Below are 13,142 nucleotides of genomic sequence, written 5' to 3'. Positions count from 1 at the left end.
GACAGAAGATAGAATCAGTAAACTTCAGGACATATCAGTAGGATTTACTGATTCTAATCTGAACAAAAGAGAAAAAATAGATACAAAACAAAACAAAACAACAGAGAACAGCCTCAGGGACCTGTCAGACAGCATCACAATACTGAGTATATGTATCATCAGGGACCCAGAAAGAAAGCAGAAAGAAATAGTGGGACTGGAAAAACAGTCAATAAATTGATATCTGAAAACATCTTAATTTCGACAGAGACAGAAATCTACAGAATCAAGTAGCTGAGTAAATCCTAAATAAGATAAACCCAAATAAATTCATACTGAAACATATCATATAAAAACTTCTGAAAACAGAAGACAAAAATTCTTGAAAGCCTGCCCCCAATCTGAAATAGTGTAGGACACAAGGAAGTGTTCCAACATTTTTTATGTCCTGAAAGAAAAGAACTGTTAGCAGCAAATTCTATGTCCAGCAAAAATAGCATTCAAAAAGGAAGGAGAAATAAATGCATCCTTATGTGAAGGAAAACTGACACAATTTGTTTTTTACCAAAACTCCTCTTAAAAATGTGAAAAGTAAGTCACCTAAACAGAAATCAAATGATATCAGAAGAATGATTGGAACTTCAGAAAGAAAAGAATAAGAGAATGGGAAAATGTAAAAAGATATAATAAGTTATGCATCATCTCAGAAGTTTTCAAAATCATATTTGGTGTTTTCACAAAAATTATAACACTGCTTGTTGCAGCATCCTGTGTATTAGATGTGTTACTCAGTGCAATTCTATTTTTAAAAACAAGGTGGGTGTAAAGGGAGTTACATGAAAATAAGGTTTCTACACTAGATGTAAAGTGGTAAAACATCAATATCAGTTGACTGTGGTCGGTTACAAACGAATACTGATCATAAGGTAAAGATAGAAAATAATGTAGAGATGTACTAGAAAACTGTATAAAGAAATAATTATGTAATCCTAAAACTATTTAAGTAACTCACAGGAAGGTAAGAAAAAAGAGCAAAGAAAAAGAGAATGAACAAACAGAAAACAAATTATAAAGTAGAACATCTAGGCCTTAACATATATATTACAGTTATCTTAAATATAAATTGTGAACATGTGTCGATTAAAAGACAAGGAATGTCAACCTGGACAAAGAAACATGATTCAAAAATACTATGCCACTTATGTCAATTGATGTAGAAAAAGCATTTCCAAAGTATAGCACAGTTTTATGATAAAAACTTTCAGAAACCTACAAATAGAAGGAAACTTCCTGAACTTTATCAAGTGTATTTATCAAAAACCAACAGCTATGTGATACATAATGGTGAAAGACTGAATGGTTTTCCCCTCAGGGTGGAAACAAGGCAGAGACATCTGCTCTCACCTCTGCTATTTAACAGAGCACCGAAAGTTCTAGTCAGCACAATTGGGCAAGAAACAAGTAAGGCATACTGATTGAAAAAAAAAGAAAGAAGGAAAACGGCCTCTATTGCAGATTACACGATTGTCTTTGTAATGTCTCCGGGAATCTAAAAAAGTCTTGTAGAAATAATAAGTTACTTAGCAAGTTCACAGGATAAATGATCCATCCTACAAAATTCATCATATTTCTATAAACTAACAATGAATGTGTGGAAACTGAAAATACCTTTACAGTTGCTCTAAAGAAAATACTTAGGCATAAATCTGACAAGATATGCAGGATCAAGATGGCAAAAATTACAAAATCTGCATGAAAGAATTGAGAGAAGAACTAAATAAATTCAAACATACCTTACTAATGGTTTGGAAGACTCAAGATAGCAAAGATGTCAATTCTCTTTAAATTGATGCGTAGACTTAATGACATTCATATCAAAACTCCAGCTAGATTTTTTTATGCACATAAACTTATTTTAAGTTTATATGAAAAGGCACATGATATTGGTGGAGAGATGGACACATAGGTCAGCAGAACAGAATACAGAACTCAGAAATGGACCCAAGCAAATATGCCCAACTCATTTTTGAGAAAGGTACAAAAGCAATTGAAGGAGGAAGGATAGTCTTTTAATCAAATGCCACCGGAGAAAATAAACATTTATAGGCTCAAAATCTCAGTGTAAACTTCACACTTTATACACTAATTAACTTGAAATGGTTTGCAAACTTAAATATAAAAGGTTTTACCATAAACCTTTTAGGAAAAGAGATTAAAAAATCATTGGGATCTAGCTAAATAAAAAGTACTTTCTTACATGTACCTTTTAATGATTTTTTTATTTTCAGTAAAAGATCAATGTGTACCTGTACTTATTCTAAAAAAGAAAAATATTCAATATGCTTTTCCAGGTTAATAGACAAATGAAATAGATTCATCTTTCTTTATGAACCCATAGTGTATCAGTGATCGAGCCATTATTGTTTTCCTGAGAGGAAAACTCTCTTTACGCTCATCACATTTTTGGAGCATTAGGAGTGGAACCAGGGGCCTTAGGTGAGGTGGACATGCTGCCAGTGGAGGTGAGCAGGAAGGAAATTTCCAAACCCAAGAACTGGCAGGCCTGGCAGAAACTGCTGGAGAGAGAACAGTTACTCAGGCTTCAAGATATGTGTGTATATGTGTGTATTTATAACTGAGGTTGAACCGTTACGCAATAAGAATGCAGTCCTATTTTTCTACCCTCTCTTTTCTAACATCTTTCAAACAGATGATGTTTTGTAAGATTTTCAATTATTTTCAATAATTTAAAAAAATTTCCAACAGAACGAATATGCATGCCGAATTATTTATCAATACCCTATTTTACACGTGGTTGTAAATAAGCAACCCGTTTTATAGATTCAGCATTTTGGATGTTAAGGTAAAAATATAGCTGCTCCTCATTTTTAGAAGAGTGGATTTACAATATGTGTGTCGGTTGGAAGTTGTATATTTAAATTACTTAAAAATATATCCTCTTTGGTAATAGTTTTTTAAAATGAATTTGTGGCACATTAGAATGTTTTGAAGCAAAATTTGTTTTTAGTTTGTATTCTCTAAACATCAGAAATTTACGTTGAAGAATTAAAAAACTTACAAGAATATTCATATTTGACCTATAAAATAAGTAACTTGGAATAATTTGAATTTGGAAATTTCTTTATACCACTAAATTTGAAGTATCGATGCCATTTTATTTTTACAGATTTTCCTTGACACATTATATTGGCTACTGGAAAGAGTTAAGACCCTTTATGAAAATATGATTTTAGTGATGCAACTTATGTATGAGGTAGATTAGGAAGCATTGATTCCTGTGCCCATTAACTAAGAAGATTTTATGAAACAATTTATAACAGGGGCCACAGTCAGTACCGGGAGTGTGGTCAGGCACGCCTCCGTCCTCACCGGGCCCACCAGAAGCTTTCAGGGTTCTGGGAGAAACGTGCCCAGGTGTGGAGAGGCTGTCACAAGGGAAGAAGGGCCAGGTTGGGGAACCCAGCACAGGGGACCTGGCCTCATAGGGGAGTCAGAGAAGGTTTTCTGAAGAAGCTGTGTCCAAGCCGAGATCCTTCCTGTTCCATGTGCTCCAGCACAAGGCCCACAGGAGGAGCCCTGTGAGCAAGACCAATCTAGACCAGCCGGGTTTATTCCCTTGGCAGTGAGGGGGAGCATGGCCTGAGGGGCTAAGGGCGGTGTCAGAAGCACAGCGTCAGAGGAACTCTTACCGTTTCCATCATGAATGATTACAGTTTGATATCAGCATGGGGGTTGTAATTGGGTGATCTGGGGAAGGGTCTGCCAGCGGGTTGGGGGGTCGCTCTAAGTTGGATGTCGACTGATAGAGGAGGCTTTTCTATTGTTCAGTTTCTCAAGGAATCTTACCTAGAAGAGGGCAGAGGGCTGCCAGGAGAAAGCGCTGCTGGGAATGAGGTAGATGCCGCTCATTTTCACCAAGTGCAATGCTAGGGATTTTAGGGGGTGGCAAAGTGACCTTGATATATTTTCTCTGTGCAGGTCTCTGTTAGAGTCACCTCTAAAATCTCCGTGGGGATCTCTGTTGGTTTTGAAGGGTCTCTGTGTGAGTCTGTGTCAGGGGTTTCTGTGGGGAGTCCTTCTGGGGGGTCTTCATGGGGGGATCTCGGTCAGATTCTCTGTTGGGGTCTCTGGGGGTCACTGTGGGGAATCTCTGAAATCTCTATGAATGTGGGGTCTCTGTGGGAATCTTTGAGTTTGGGGGTGTACATGGGGGTCTCTGTGGGGCTCCTCTGCTGGCGGGTTCCAGGATCCTGGGTCCCATAGATGTTGGGCCCACACTGGAGCTGCCCAGGTCACCACCCCAGACAGGACTTGGCTCCAGCAGTAGCCTGGGCACCCAAAGTGACACCAGGGCCTTTTCCAAACAGGTCCCCAGCATGGGTCCCGCCACGCCTGGGTACAGGCCTGTCCCCTTGTCCTCAGCCTCCACAGCCCCTGCAGGTGCAGAGCTCTCCCTGGGCAGAAGGCCCCTGGGCAGAGCCCTCTGGGGAACCAGCTCCTGCATTTGCTCCTGCCTTCCTTGGGGATGGACAGGAGGGACCCAGCACCAGGACGGAGGAGCCCAGGACTGTGCCCTGCGGGGACTGTCCCTGCCAACCATGTGACCAGATCCTCTGAGCCCCAATGTGTCCCCTGCCAGCACCTGGGCTTGGAGCCATAGATGTGCTGTGTAACCAGGCCAGCCCTTGCCTTCTGGGTCCCTCTCCCCTGGGAGTGGCACTGACCACCTTTGCTTGTCATGGTCACCAGACTATGAGGACCCTGGTTACAGCTGTGGGCAGCTTGTGGGTCCTGCACTTGCGAACTTACGTTCGTCTTCCCTGATTCTTCTCACGACCTCTCACCCTGGGCCTAAGGTCTCCTCCTGCGGTTCCTAACCACAGAGTCCCACCAGAGGGGCAGGCAGCAGCCCTGGGTGCCTCCTGAAACAGACACCCCACACTAGTGGGCTGGGAGACTGCTCTGGAGAGTGAGGCAGGGGACACCAGACGCAAACCCAGGGGTGTTAACAAGGCTGAACCAAGTGCTGGTGGGGCCCAGGTCCATCCCAGAACTCAGCAGGTAGGGAGGGGTCTGGGGAGGGTGTCATTTCTTCCCCACCAGGACATCTGAGAAGGAGCTGTCCCTTCTCTCACCCAGGGCCAGTACAGGACACCCCCACATTCCCAGGCTACCACGGGGCAGGGAGGCTGCTGGGATCCATCACTCCTCCAGCCTGAGGGGAGCCTGCCACCCTCTCAGTCCATAAGGCCCTTGCAGACCCAGCTCCGACAGCAGCACAGAAGTTACCTTAGTGAGAACGAAGATGCAGTGAGCCAGAGCCCGGGTGGGGTCTCCATAGGGTTTGCTGTCCTTACACGTCCTGAAGGCTCTGGGTCATGATACAGTTTGGAAACCAGACATGGTTTCTCCCTGGACAGGGAGAAGAGGGGGTCCTCCACGTCCCTGCCAGCCTTCTCCAGGCCCAGCCATTCTGGAAGCCGCACTCAGAAGGGGCAGATGCTGTGCCCTTTCCTGCCCCCTAGCATGGCACAGACAGAAGCCACGCCCTCTGCAGGGAAAGCAGGTATATTGGGAACTTCTCCGTGAACGTCATGAACACATGGCGGCTGTGATCACCCACGCAGGACAGGTTTATTGTGTAGGCATCAGTTTTATTTGAGTAGAACCCCCTGTCTCCCCCAGGAGACATGCAAGAAGACTGGTCTAGTTCAGGAGGCAAGACACCTCTGTGCAGACATCAGTTCCTGCAGCTGTGGATGGGGGCCGCCCGAGGTGCTTGCCATTCTTGGCCTGTGGTGGTGGGGACCAGCTGGGGACACAGGCTCCCTGGGAGGTGGGGCCCAACTGCTGTCTCTGTCTCTGATGCCCCTGTTTTTGACAGGACAGTGGTGGCCCTTGGGGGTGGCTTTAGGGCTGCAGGCCAGAGCTCTCATCTCTCTGCTACGTTCTTGGTGGCAGTGACCCCTGTGGCAGCAGGAAGGCACATTCTCCTGGGCGCGGAAGTCACCTTTGTGGCGATTGACCTCTGAGGGACCTCGTCCCCACTGAAGCCCCAGTTTGTCCACCAGGATTTGTCCCACAACTCTGCTGATGGTCCAGGCTTTGTCAGCCATGCAGTCCATAAACTGCCTTGGTGGGCCAGACCCCCAGCTCTGGAAAGCATCTGCCCCAGGCTTGCCTTTCTGCAGGACATCTTCCCACCGTGTGCCTCCTTTCCTGGGGTGTAGACCCTGTGGATGGTGACTGATCTTTCTCTGGAAGTGGCTTTCTGGTGGTGTCTGTCCCTTCTCCAGCTGAAGCTGGTTGTATTTCCTTTCTTGTTTGTCTCCTATTTCCCTGGCTTGGGCAGGGTGGCTCCTCCCACTGGCTTCAGAGGTCCTGGGTCCCTTGGACCTGTGTCCCTGCTCCCCTGTTCTGGGCCTCCTGTGGGCCTCGCCCTTGTCCGCACAGCCCAGCGTCTTCTGACTCTTCTGTGGGGCCTTTGCTTTTGGGCTCCCAGGCTCCTGCTGCCCTGGACTGTCCCCTCCCTTCCATAGGAGGGCACATGGCCCCTGGGAAGCTGTCATGTTCTTACCAGACACACTCTGGGAGGTGGACAGAGGGGCTTGAGTGGGCAGCCTGTCTGCGGCAGTGAGCATGTCCATGTGGCGGCCTGGAAGGCACAGGCCTGTGGCGCCGTCCTGGAGGAGGATGCCCGGGGCACGGCCTGGCAGCTGCTCCTCTGAGTCCACCTGCACTATGAGCGCAATCTCACTGACCACCTGCGCTTTCAGGTGCAGCTGCTCTGGATCCTGAGCAACACAGACTGAAGACGCTGAGGGGTTACCAGTGGTCCCCAGAGCCCCTGTGCTCCTCAGATCCTCCTGAACACTTCCCGAACTTGCCCTCACACTGGCTCCCAAGGTGACTTCCCAAGTTGGGGGCTTCTCCCCCACTTTCAGTGCCTGCAGGGCATCTTCAGCCCTTGCCCACTGGGACCCTATGCTGAGCACTTGCAGGGCTCTGCTACTACAGGGGTCTCCTGGGGACATGCTCTCACTCTCAAGCCATGCCTCGTTCCCAGCCATTTCTGAACCCATACTCCCCTCTAGTCTGGGTTTGGGTTTCCCGGATTCCAGGACAGTCCTGCTCTGCCAGGTTCTGCCCACAAGGCTGCATGTTGGGGGCTGAGAACACCCCCTGCCCTTGTGTCCAGTCGGAAAGGCCTCTGATCGCCCATGGGTATCAGCTGACTGGGACCCTCTCGGGGGCCTCTGGACTCCCTCCTGCTCAGGCGGTGGGGCAGCGAGAGGGCCACTCACGGTCGGGACTGACTTGCTTGTTGTTCTGTTGTCTCCTGGACCATTCTGAGGACGTTTTCCCAGGAAAATGGGAACCTTGGGTACAGATTCAACCCGAGATACCCAGGAGGCCCAGGGGGTAAAGGTGGATTGTGGGAAGGGCGGGGCCTGAGCCTCACCTGACCAGACATTTATGGGCTCCAGGGACTGGAGGTCTGTACCCCAGCTGTGCCTCACACAGAACCTTACAAGATGTACTTCCAGTATCTGCTGGGTGCAGGGATGGAGGAAGGAAAGCTCCTGGGAGGTGTTCACGTGGGCTTTCCCACCCCTCCAGGATGCCAGCTTCCCAGGTTTCCTGTGGGTGTCAGACTTGGGAACAGCACATTTGGCCATGAGCCAGGAGCGACGCACAGGCATGGGGATCCAGCCCTCTTTGATCTCCCCTACCTTCCTGGCCAGATGGATTTGCAGCTTGTTTTCCAGATGCTCCTTGTCTGGGTCCCTGGGTGTGGAACTTACTGATTGGTACTTCCAGGACCTCCGTAAGTCACCTTCTGCCTCCTTGTCTTCGTCCAGAGCCTTCACTGAGGTCCTTCCTGAGCCTTGATCCCGGCTTGGGTCCGGCCCTAGTTTGGACCCTAAGCACCCCTTGTCAGAGAACCTTCCGGAGCTCCTGAACCCGGTCTTCTGCACATCCTTCCTGCCCTTCCCTGCAAAGTCAGAAGGCTGGGAGGGCAAGAGGGCCTGCTGCGTGTCTTCTGCCTGACTCTGGGGCCTCCCTGGGAATTCCCCATCAGGCTGTAGCAGGTCCCCAGATGCCTGCAATCTGCTGGGAGGGCCACAGGACTGCTCCTGGTGGATGGCATTCCTTCCTTGCCACCAGTGCTCTGGGAGCTCAGGGCTGGTGACAACCCCGGGAAGGATGGGGGCTGACTTGGGGCTCCAGGAGGCCGGCCTCTCTTGGGGAAGGTGGGCAGTGGGCTGGCTCAGAACAGCCTGAGACTTTTTGAGGAGAGAGGGCAAAACCCTCTTCCACTTTGGTCGCTTCTTCAAGGGCCATTCAAGATACTCCTTTCCAGTGGGGATGACAGACTGTGTCCTCTCCTGGGATGTAGGGTAAGATGCCCCACAGCCCCTAATCTGGGGTGGAGAAGAGCACCCCAGGCTTGGGACAGGGGGTGAGAGGTGGGCCTGGGTCTGGATCTCAGCCAAAGGTGGGGGCTGGGACTGGGGCCAGGCTGGAGTGAAATGTTGGGGCTGGGCCATGTGGTGGGGCTGGGGCGGTGCCTGGGAAAGCTGTGAGGATGCCTCAACCTCAGGTTCACCTGGAAGAGAAGTGGAGGCTTTATCCAGTGGTACAGAGTGTGCATTCTGTGAGGAAGGGTTCCTAGAAACCCAGACTGTGGTCGCCAGGGACTCGCTATTGAGAGAGGGGAGGTCCCAGAAAAGCTGGCTGCGTTTCTGCTGTAAGTGGTTCCCCACGGTTGTGGCATCAGAGACTTGCTGAGGACGGGGCAGCTGCTGTGGCTGGGTTGACACGTTCCAGAAGGGATTTAGGGTCGTGATGTCCCACTCCTTCCCCAGTGATGTCATGTGCGGGTGGTCGGCCCGTTTTCTTTCTTTCTCCTGCCACATCTTCATCAGTGCTCTCTTGGCGATGAGGGTCTCCAGCAGCTTCTGCACGTCAGGGTGGATGAATGTGCAGCCACCTACCTCCATGTGCTTGGGTGTGGGGTCTCCCCAGAAGGAAGCCTCTGAGGTGTGGTCGGGAAGATGCCGTGGCTGGGATTTGCCATGTGAGTAGGTGGAGAGGCCCCAGGTGGTGGCAGCCTCCCTCCAGCAATAGAGGTCCCAGATGGGATCGCTGGAGCACCCCAGGCCAGAGATCACCCTGGTTGGAGGAGGCAGCACCTGGTTGTGTAGAGGGGAGCTCTGGGGGACGGGGCATGTTGTGGAGCCACACTGAAGTCCAGCCAGGCTGGAGTCGGGTGGAGGTGGAGAGGAGGCCAGGGGACCATGCGGCTGTGGTGAAGGAGGAAAAACCACATGTGGCTGGGTTGCAGGGCATTTTAGGGGAAGCAAGGGCTCTGGTGGCCCGGAGGCACTCAGGGTTGAGTGTGGTCCAAAAGGCTCTGAGAAGGTCATCGGGCCTGGTGACAGGGTGGAGGCCAGAGGAGCTGGGGGAGCTGGTGGGGACAAGCTGGCAGGAGACGGATCTTGCATGCATTTCCCATGCGGCTGGTGGGCCTTAGCAGGCACTGGTTTACACACGTCCCCCAGGGGGTCTCCACCTAAGGGCAGGTGGGAGCTGCCTTCGCCAGCGAGCTTCCTCAGGTGGCTGCAGGAGACAAGAGGCACAAGCTGCAGCCAGGGGTAGATGGGGCCGGGAAGCTGGGACGGGTGGGCACCTGGGGCCCCCGGTTCCTCCACCTCCCCAACTGCTGACTTCATAAAGCTCTGCCTAAGCCTGCCCCAGGGCTTCAGTCCCCTCCTGTCCCCTTCCCGGGACCTCCCCCTCCCAGATCACCACCAGGCCGTAGGGTTGCATCAGAGGCCCTGGTAGGAAGGAGGACAGGGACAGAAGGGGGAAGCTCCTCACCTTTCCAGAAGGTAGTTCAGGTCCCGAGTCTCCTCCAGCTCCCTCAGGAGGATTCTGCAAGCTGGAAATCAGGAGACAGGGTTATGGTGGAGAGGGCGGTGCCTGGGAACCTCATGGAGGCTGAGTGGATGTCTTTTTAGGGGACACCATGGGGGACTAGACCCTGAAGCCCTCGCATCTGTGTCCGAGGCCACATGGCCCCAATGGTGACAGGAAGGTTTCCACTGTGCAGCACTTTGTCATTTGCAAAAAGTGCTTCCACGTCCACCCCCTCATCGGTGTCACAACCATCTTGTTGGGAGAGCAAATGGGTGGTCTCAAAGAGGAGTCAGCCATTGCTGAGGTGAACAGCTGTCCACATGGACCTGGAGCCTCCCTGACCTCCCCCCATATCCAGGCAGGCCTTGGTCCCTTCCCCACACCGCCCCCTTATGGGCAATACCGGTCCCAGGCCCGTGGCTTCATTCCCGCAGGGAATCTGAGGAGGCCGCAGGTTCTGATTTCTCTCCCAGGAGCTTCCCTCTCAGGCCTCTGCAAATGACTTCCTCAGGGACAGGCAAAGCTCAGTTACCTCTGGGGAGTCCCGGGGGGCAGCAGAGCCTCACCTTTCAGAGCTGAGATCTTCCTGCTCCTGGACCTCCCGCTTCTCTCCCTTTGAGGCTGAGAGGCAAGAAAGGATGAGGGGCTGGGACCAGTTCTCAGTCTCCTCTCCCCAGACCAGCTGCACACACGCAGTGCTCATGAGGGACACGGCTCTCAGCCTCTAGCTCAGGGAGCTCTGTGTGTGCTTTTTACTCATGTTTACCGTGAATGAAATGTTTTCTGTTTTCCTTCTTAGGGAAATGCAAGGAAGGGTTGTCTGTGTGACTCCAACCTGGCTGTCCCCAGTCCCTGCTCCTCCGCTCAAGGAACACCTAGGCTCAGGCCCACAGGCGCCTCTGAGCTGCCAGTAGGATTCTGCTTTGGATGAGAATGGAGAGGAGGCCAGGGTACCATGGGGCTGTGGTGAAGGAGGAAAAAGCACATGTGGCCGGGGTGCAGCCACAGGCGAATCCAGGCTCTACTGGGAGGCTCTCAGGAGCTCAGCACAGCTCCCAGATCACACCCAGATCATACAGAGGAGGCTGGGCCCCCAGGCACCTGCCCCAGGAAGGGGGTGATGAGCCAGGGCTGGGGCCTCTCCTCCCACAGAGACCTCACCCCTCTCCTGACCCGGTCCTTGCCACTGAGTCCAGTGTTGGTTTTTGCCCTGACGCCTCCTGTGCACCCCACAGATGAGCTCGGGATGGAATCCTCTGCCCACTCTCACCCCTGCCTGCCTTGCCCTTCCCTAGAGGGATGACGAGATTTCCCATCACAGAAGGGTCTCACATTGCTTAGGAAAAGTGGAAATGAGGGGAGGAAAAGAAGAGAGAATCTTTCTCTGTGGGGCTGGGCTGAGGACTCCTTACCTCCCTGCTGCTCCTCTTCCTCCCGGGCGGGGGTGAGGGTGGGTCACTGTGGACGTAGAGGAGCAATAGGAAGAGGAGCACTAGGCCACACACACTGGTGAGGATGAAATCCATCATCCAGGGAGTGGAGCTAGGGCTCAGCCATGTGGCACTAGGGCTCTTCAGAGGAAAGAGCATTTTCTCCATCTGAAGTGCAATGTCGTCTCCTGTGCACTCCACAGATGGTCTGGGAGCTGGGGGTGGAATCCTCTGCCCACTCTCAACCCTGCCTGCCCTGCCCTTCCCTAGAGGGATGACGAGATTTCCCATCGCCTTCAAGCAACTGAGCTCTGGGCATCCCCTTTGGGACTAGGGACTGGGGCCCAGGCTTGTATCACACAGCTGGGGCCTCCTCCTCACAAAGGGCTCCTGGGGGTGGGGGAGGGGCAGTGGGAGGAGGAGGCTGAAGCACAGCCCCGCCCTCAGCTCCCAGCCCCCAGTCCCTCCACCCTCCTGGGTCCCCCAAATCGCTCCTTCCCACTCCAGCTGCTCACCCTGTCAGAGACAGTCCTCAGTCCATTTTCTATTCTCTTCCCCTGGAACACAGGTGTCACCTGGCTCTCCTTGTACCTTGGAGATCTAGGCCTGAGCCCACCCATTTCATAGCCTTTGAAACTGTGAAATTCTCCTAGGAATTTAGGTGGTTTCTTAAGGATTATTTCAGAATCTCCTCTGTTTTTGTAATTTTCCCACACCTTACATTTTCTACTTTCATCAACCCAGAATAGAACTCTTAAATTTACAAAACTAAAAAGTATAAAAATTACAAATAATTAAACCTCCAAATGACATTTTTATATTAGGAACATAATTTTGAGTTACCGAATTATGGAGCTTGCTGTAAAAAAACCTCAAACACTTTGACAAATTATTTTCAAAACAATAATTAAGCCTTTACTTATTTTCTTTAGATCTTTCATATGTTGTCCTGATCCATTTTTTCTTTCTCTGCCCCAAATACAGTCCTCACTTTCCTAAGTTTTGGAACATGTGTGCTCCACCATGAGCCAGGAGTGGTTTGGGGTGATCTGAGGTCCAGCTCCTTTGGGTGGAGAGCGGGACTGGGCATTCCGTGCCAGGCTCAAGTCCAGTGTTCAGCAGACTCTTCTGAGATCACTCGTGTCCTCCGTACATATTCTTTTTTTTTTTTTTTTTGAAACGGAGTCTCACTCTGTTGCCCAGGCTGGAGTGCAGTGGCATGATCTCGGCTCACTGCAACCTCTGCCTCCTGGGTTCAAGCGATTCTCCTGCCTCAGCCTCCCAAGTAGCTGGGACTACAGAAGTGTGCCACCATGCCCAGCTAATTTTTGTATCTTTAGTAGAGACCAGGTTTCACCATAGTGGCCAGGCTGGTCCTGAACTCCTGAGCTTGTGATCCGCCCGCCTCGGCCTCCCATTTGTATTCTCTGCTCCACAGTGTGTCCTGTTTTTCACCTCCTGCCTGCTCCAGACCACTGGGGCCTCATGTCTGGCCTGTACCTGATAGGGAGCATACTTTGAGCCCTGGAGGAAATGTTCTCATTATACTATTAGACATCTTTTGGGCAGCAGAAACTCAGGATTAGAGATTGCACTTTTTAATCACTATGTGATACATTTATTTAATACTTGAAAAGTGGCCTTGAAAATCATGTATATCTTTGTCATGCGTTCTATATAGCCTCAATGGGAGTGAGACCATCTGAGTCTATTTGGGTCTGTTCTCATGAACATGCATCTTCAAGAGCATATCTGCTTCATCTACTGCTGCTTTTATCTGTCTACAGT

At 50.8% G+C, this 13,142-nt stretch overlaps 1 protein-coding gene and 1 long non-coding RNA gene across 2 annotated transcripts in view; one reads left to right on the top strand and one right to left on the bottom strand.

Moving 5' to 3' along the window:
* The window catches only part of LOC497256 (uncharacterized), a 71,588-nt gene that overhangs the window by 44,724 nt on the left and 13,722 nt on the right, over nt 1–13,142 (top strand). The window lies entirely within an intron of this gene.
* SPATA31E1 (SPATA31 subfamily E member 1) lies at nt 5,634–11,660 on the bottom strand. The gene is made up of 4 exons (NM_178828.5): nt 11,337–11,660; nt 10,491–10,545; nt 9,886–9,946; nt 5,634–9,624 (listed from the first exon to the last, which is right to left on the bottom strand). The coding sequence occupies exons 1-4, from the start codon at nt 11,643–11,645 to the stop codon at nt 5,712–5,714; spliced, it is 4,338 nt and encodes a 1,445-aa protein (NP_849150.3). The 5' UTR covers nt 11,646–11,660; the 3' UTR covers nt 5,634–5,711.

Source organism: Homo sapiens, chromosome 9 (assembly GCF_000001405.40).
Source record: "Homo sapiens chromosome 9, GRCh38.p14 Primary Assembly".
Taxonomy (NCBI): domain Eukaryota; kingdom Metazoa; phylum Chordata; class Mammalia; order Primates; family Hominidae; genus Homo; species Homo sapiens.
This window is presented reverse-complemented; position numbering and strand designations above follow the sequence as displayed.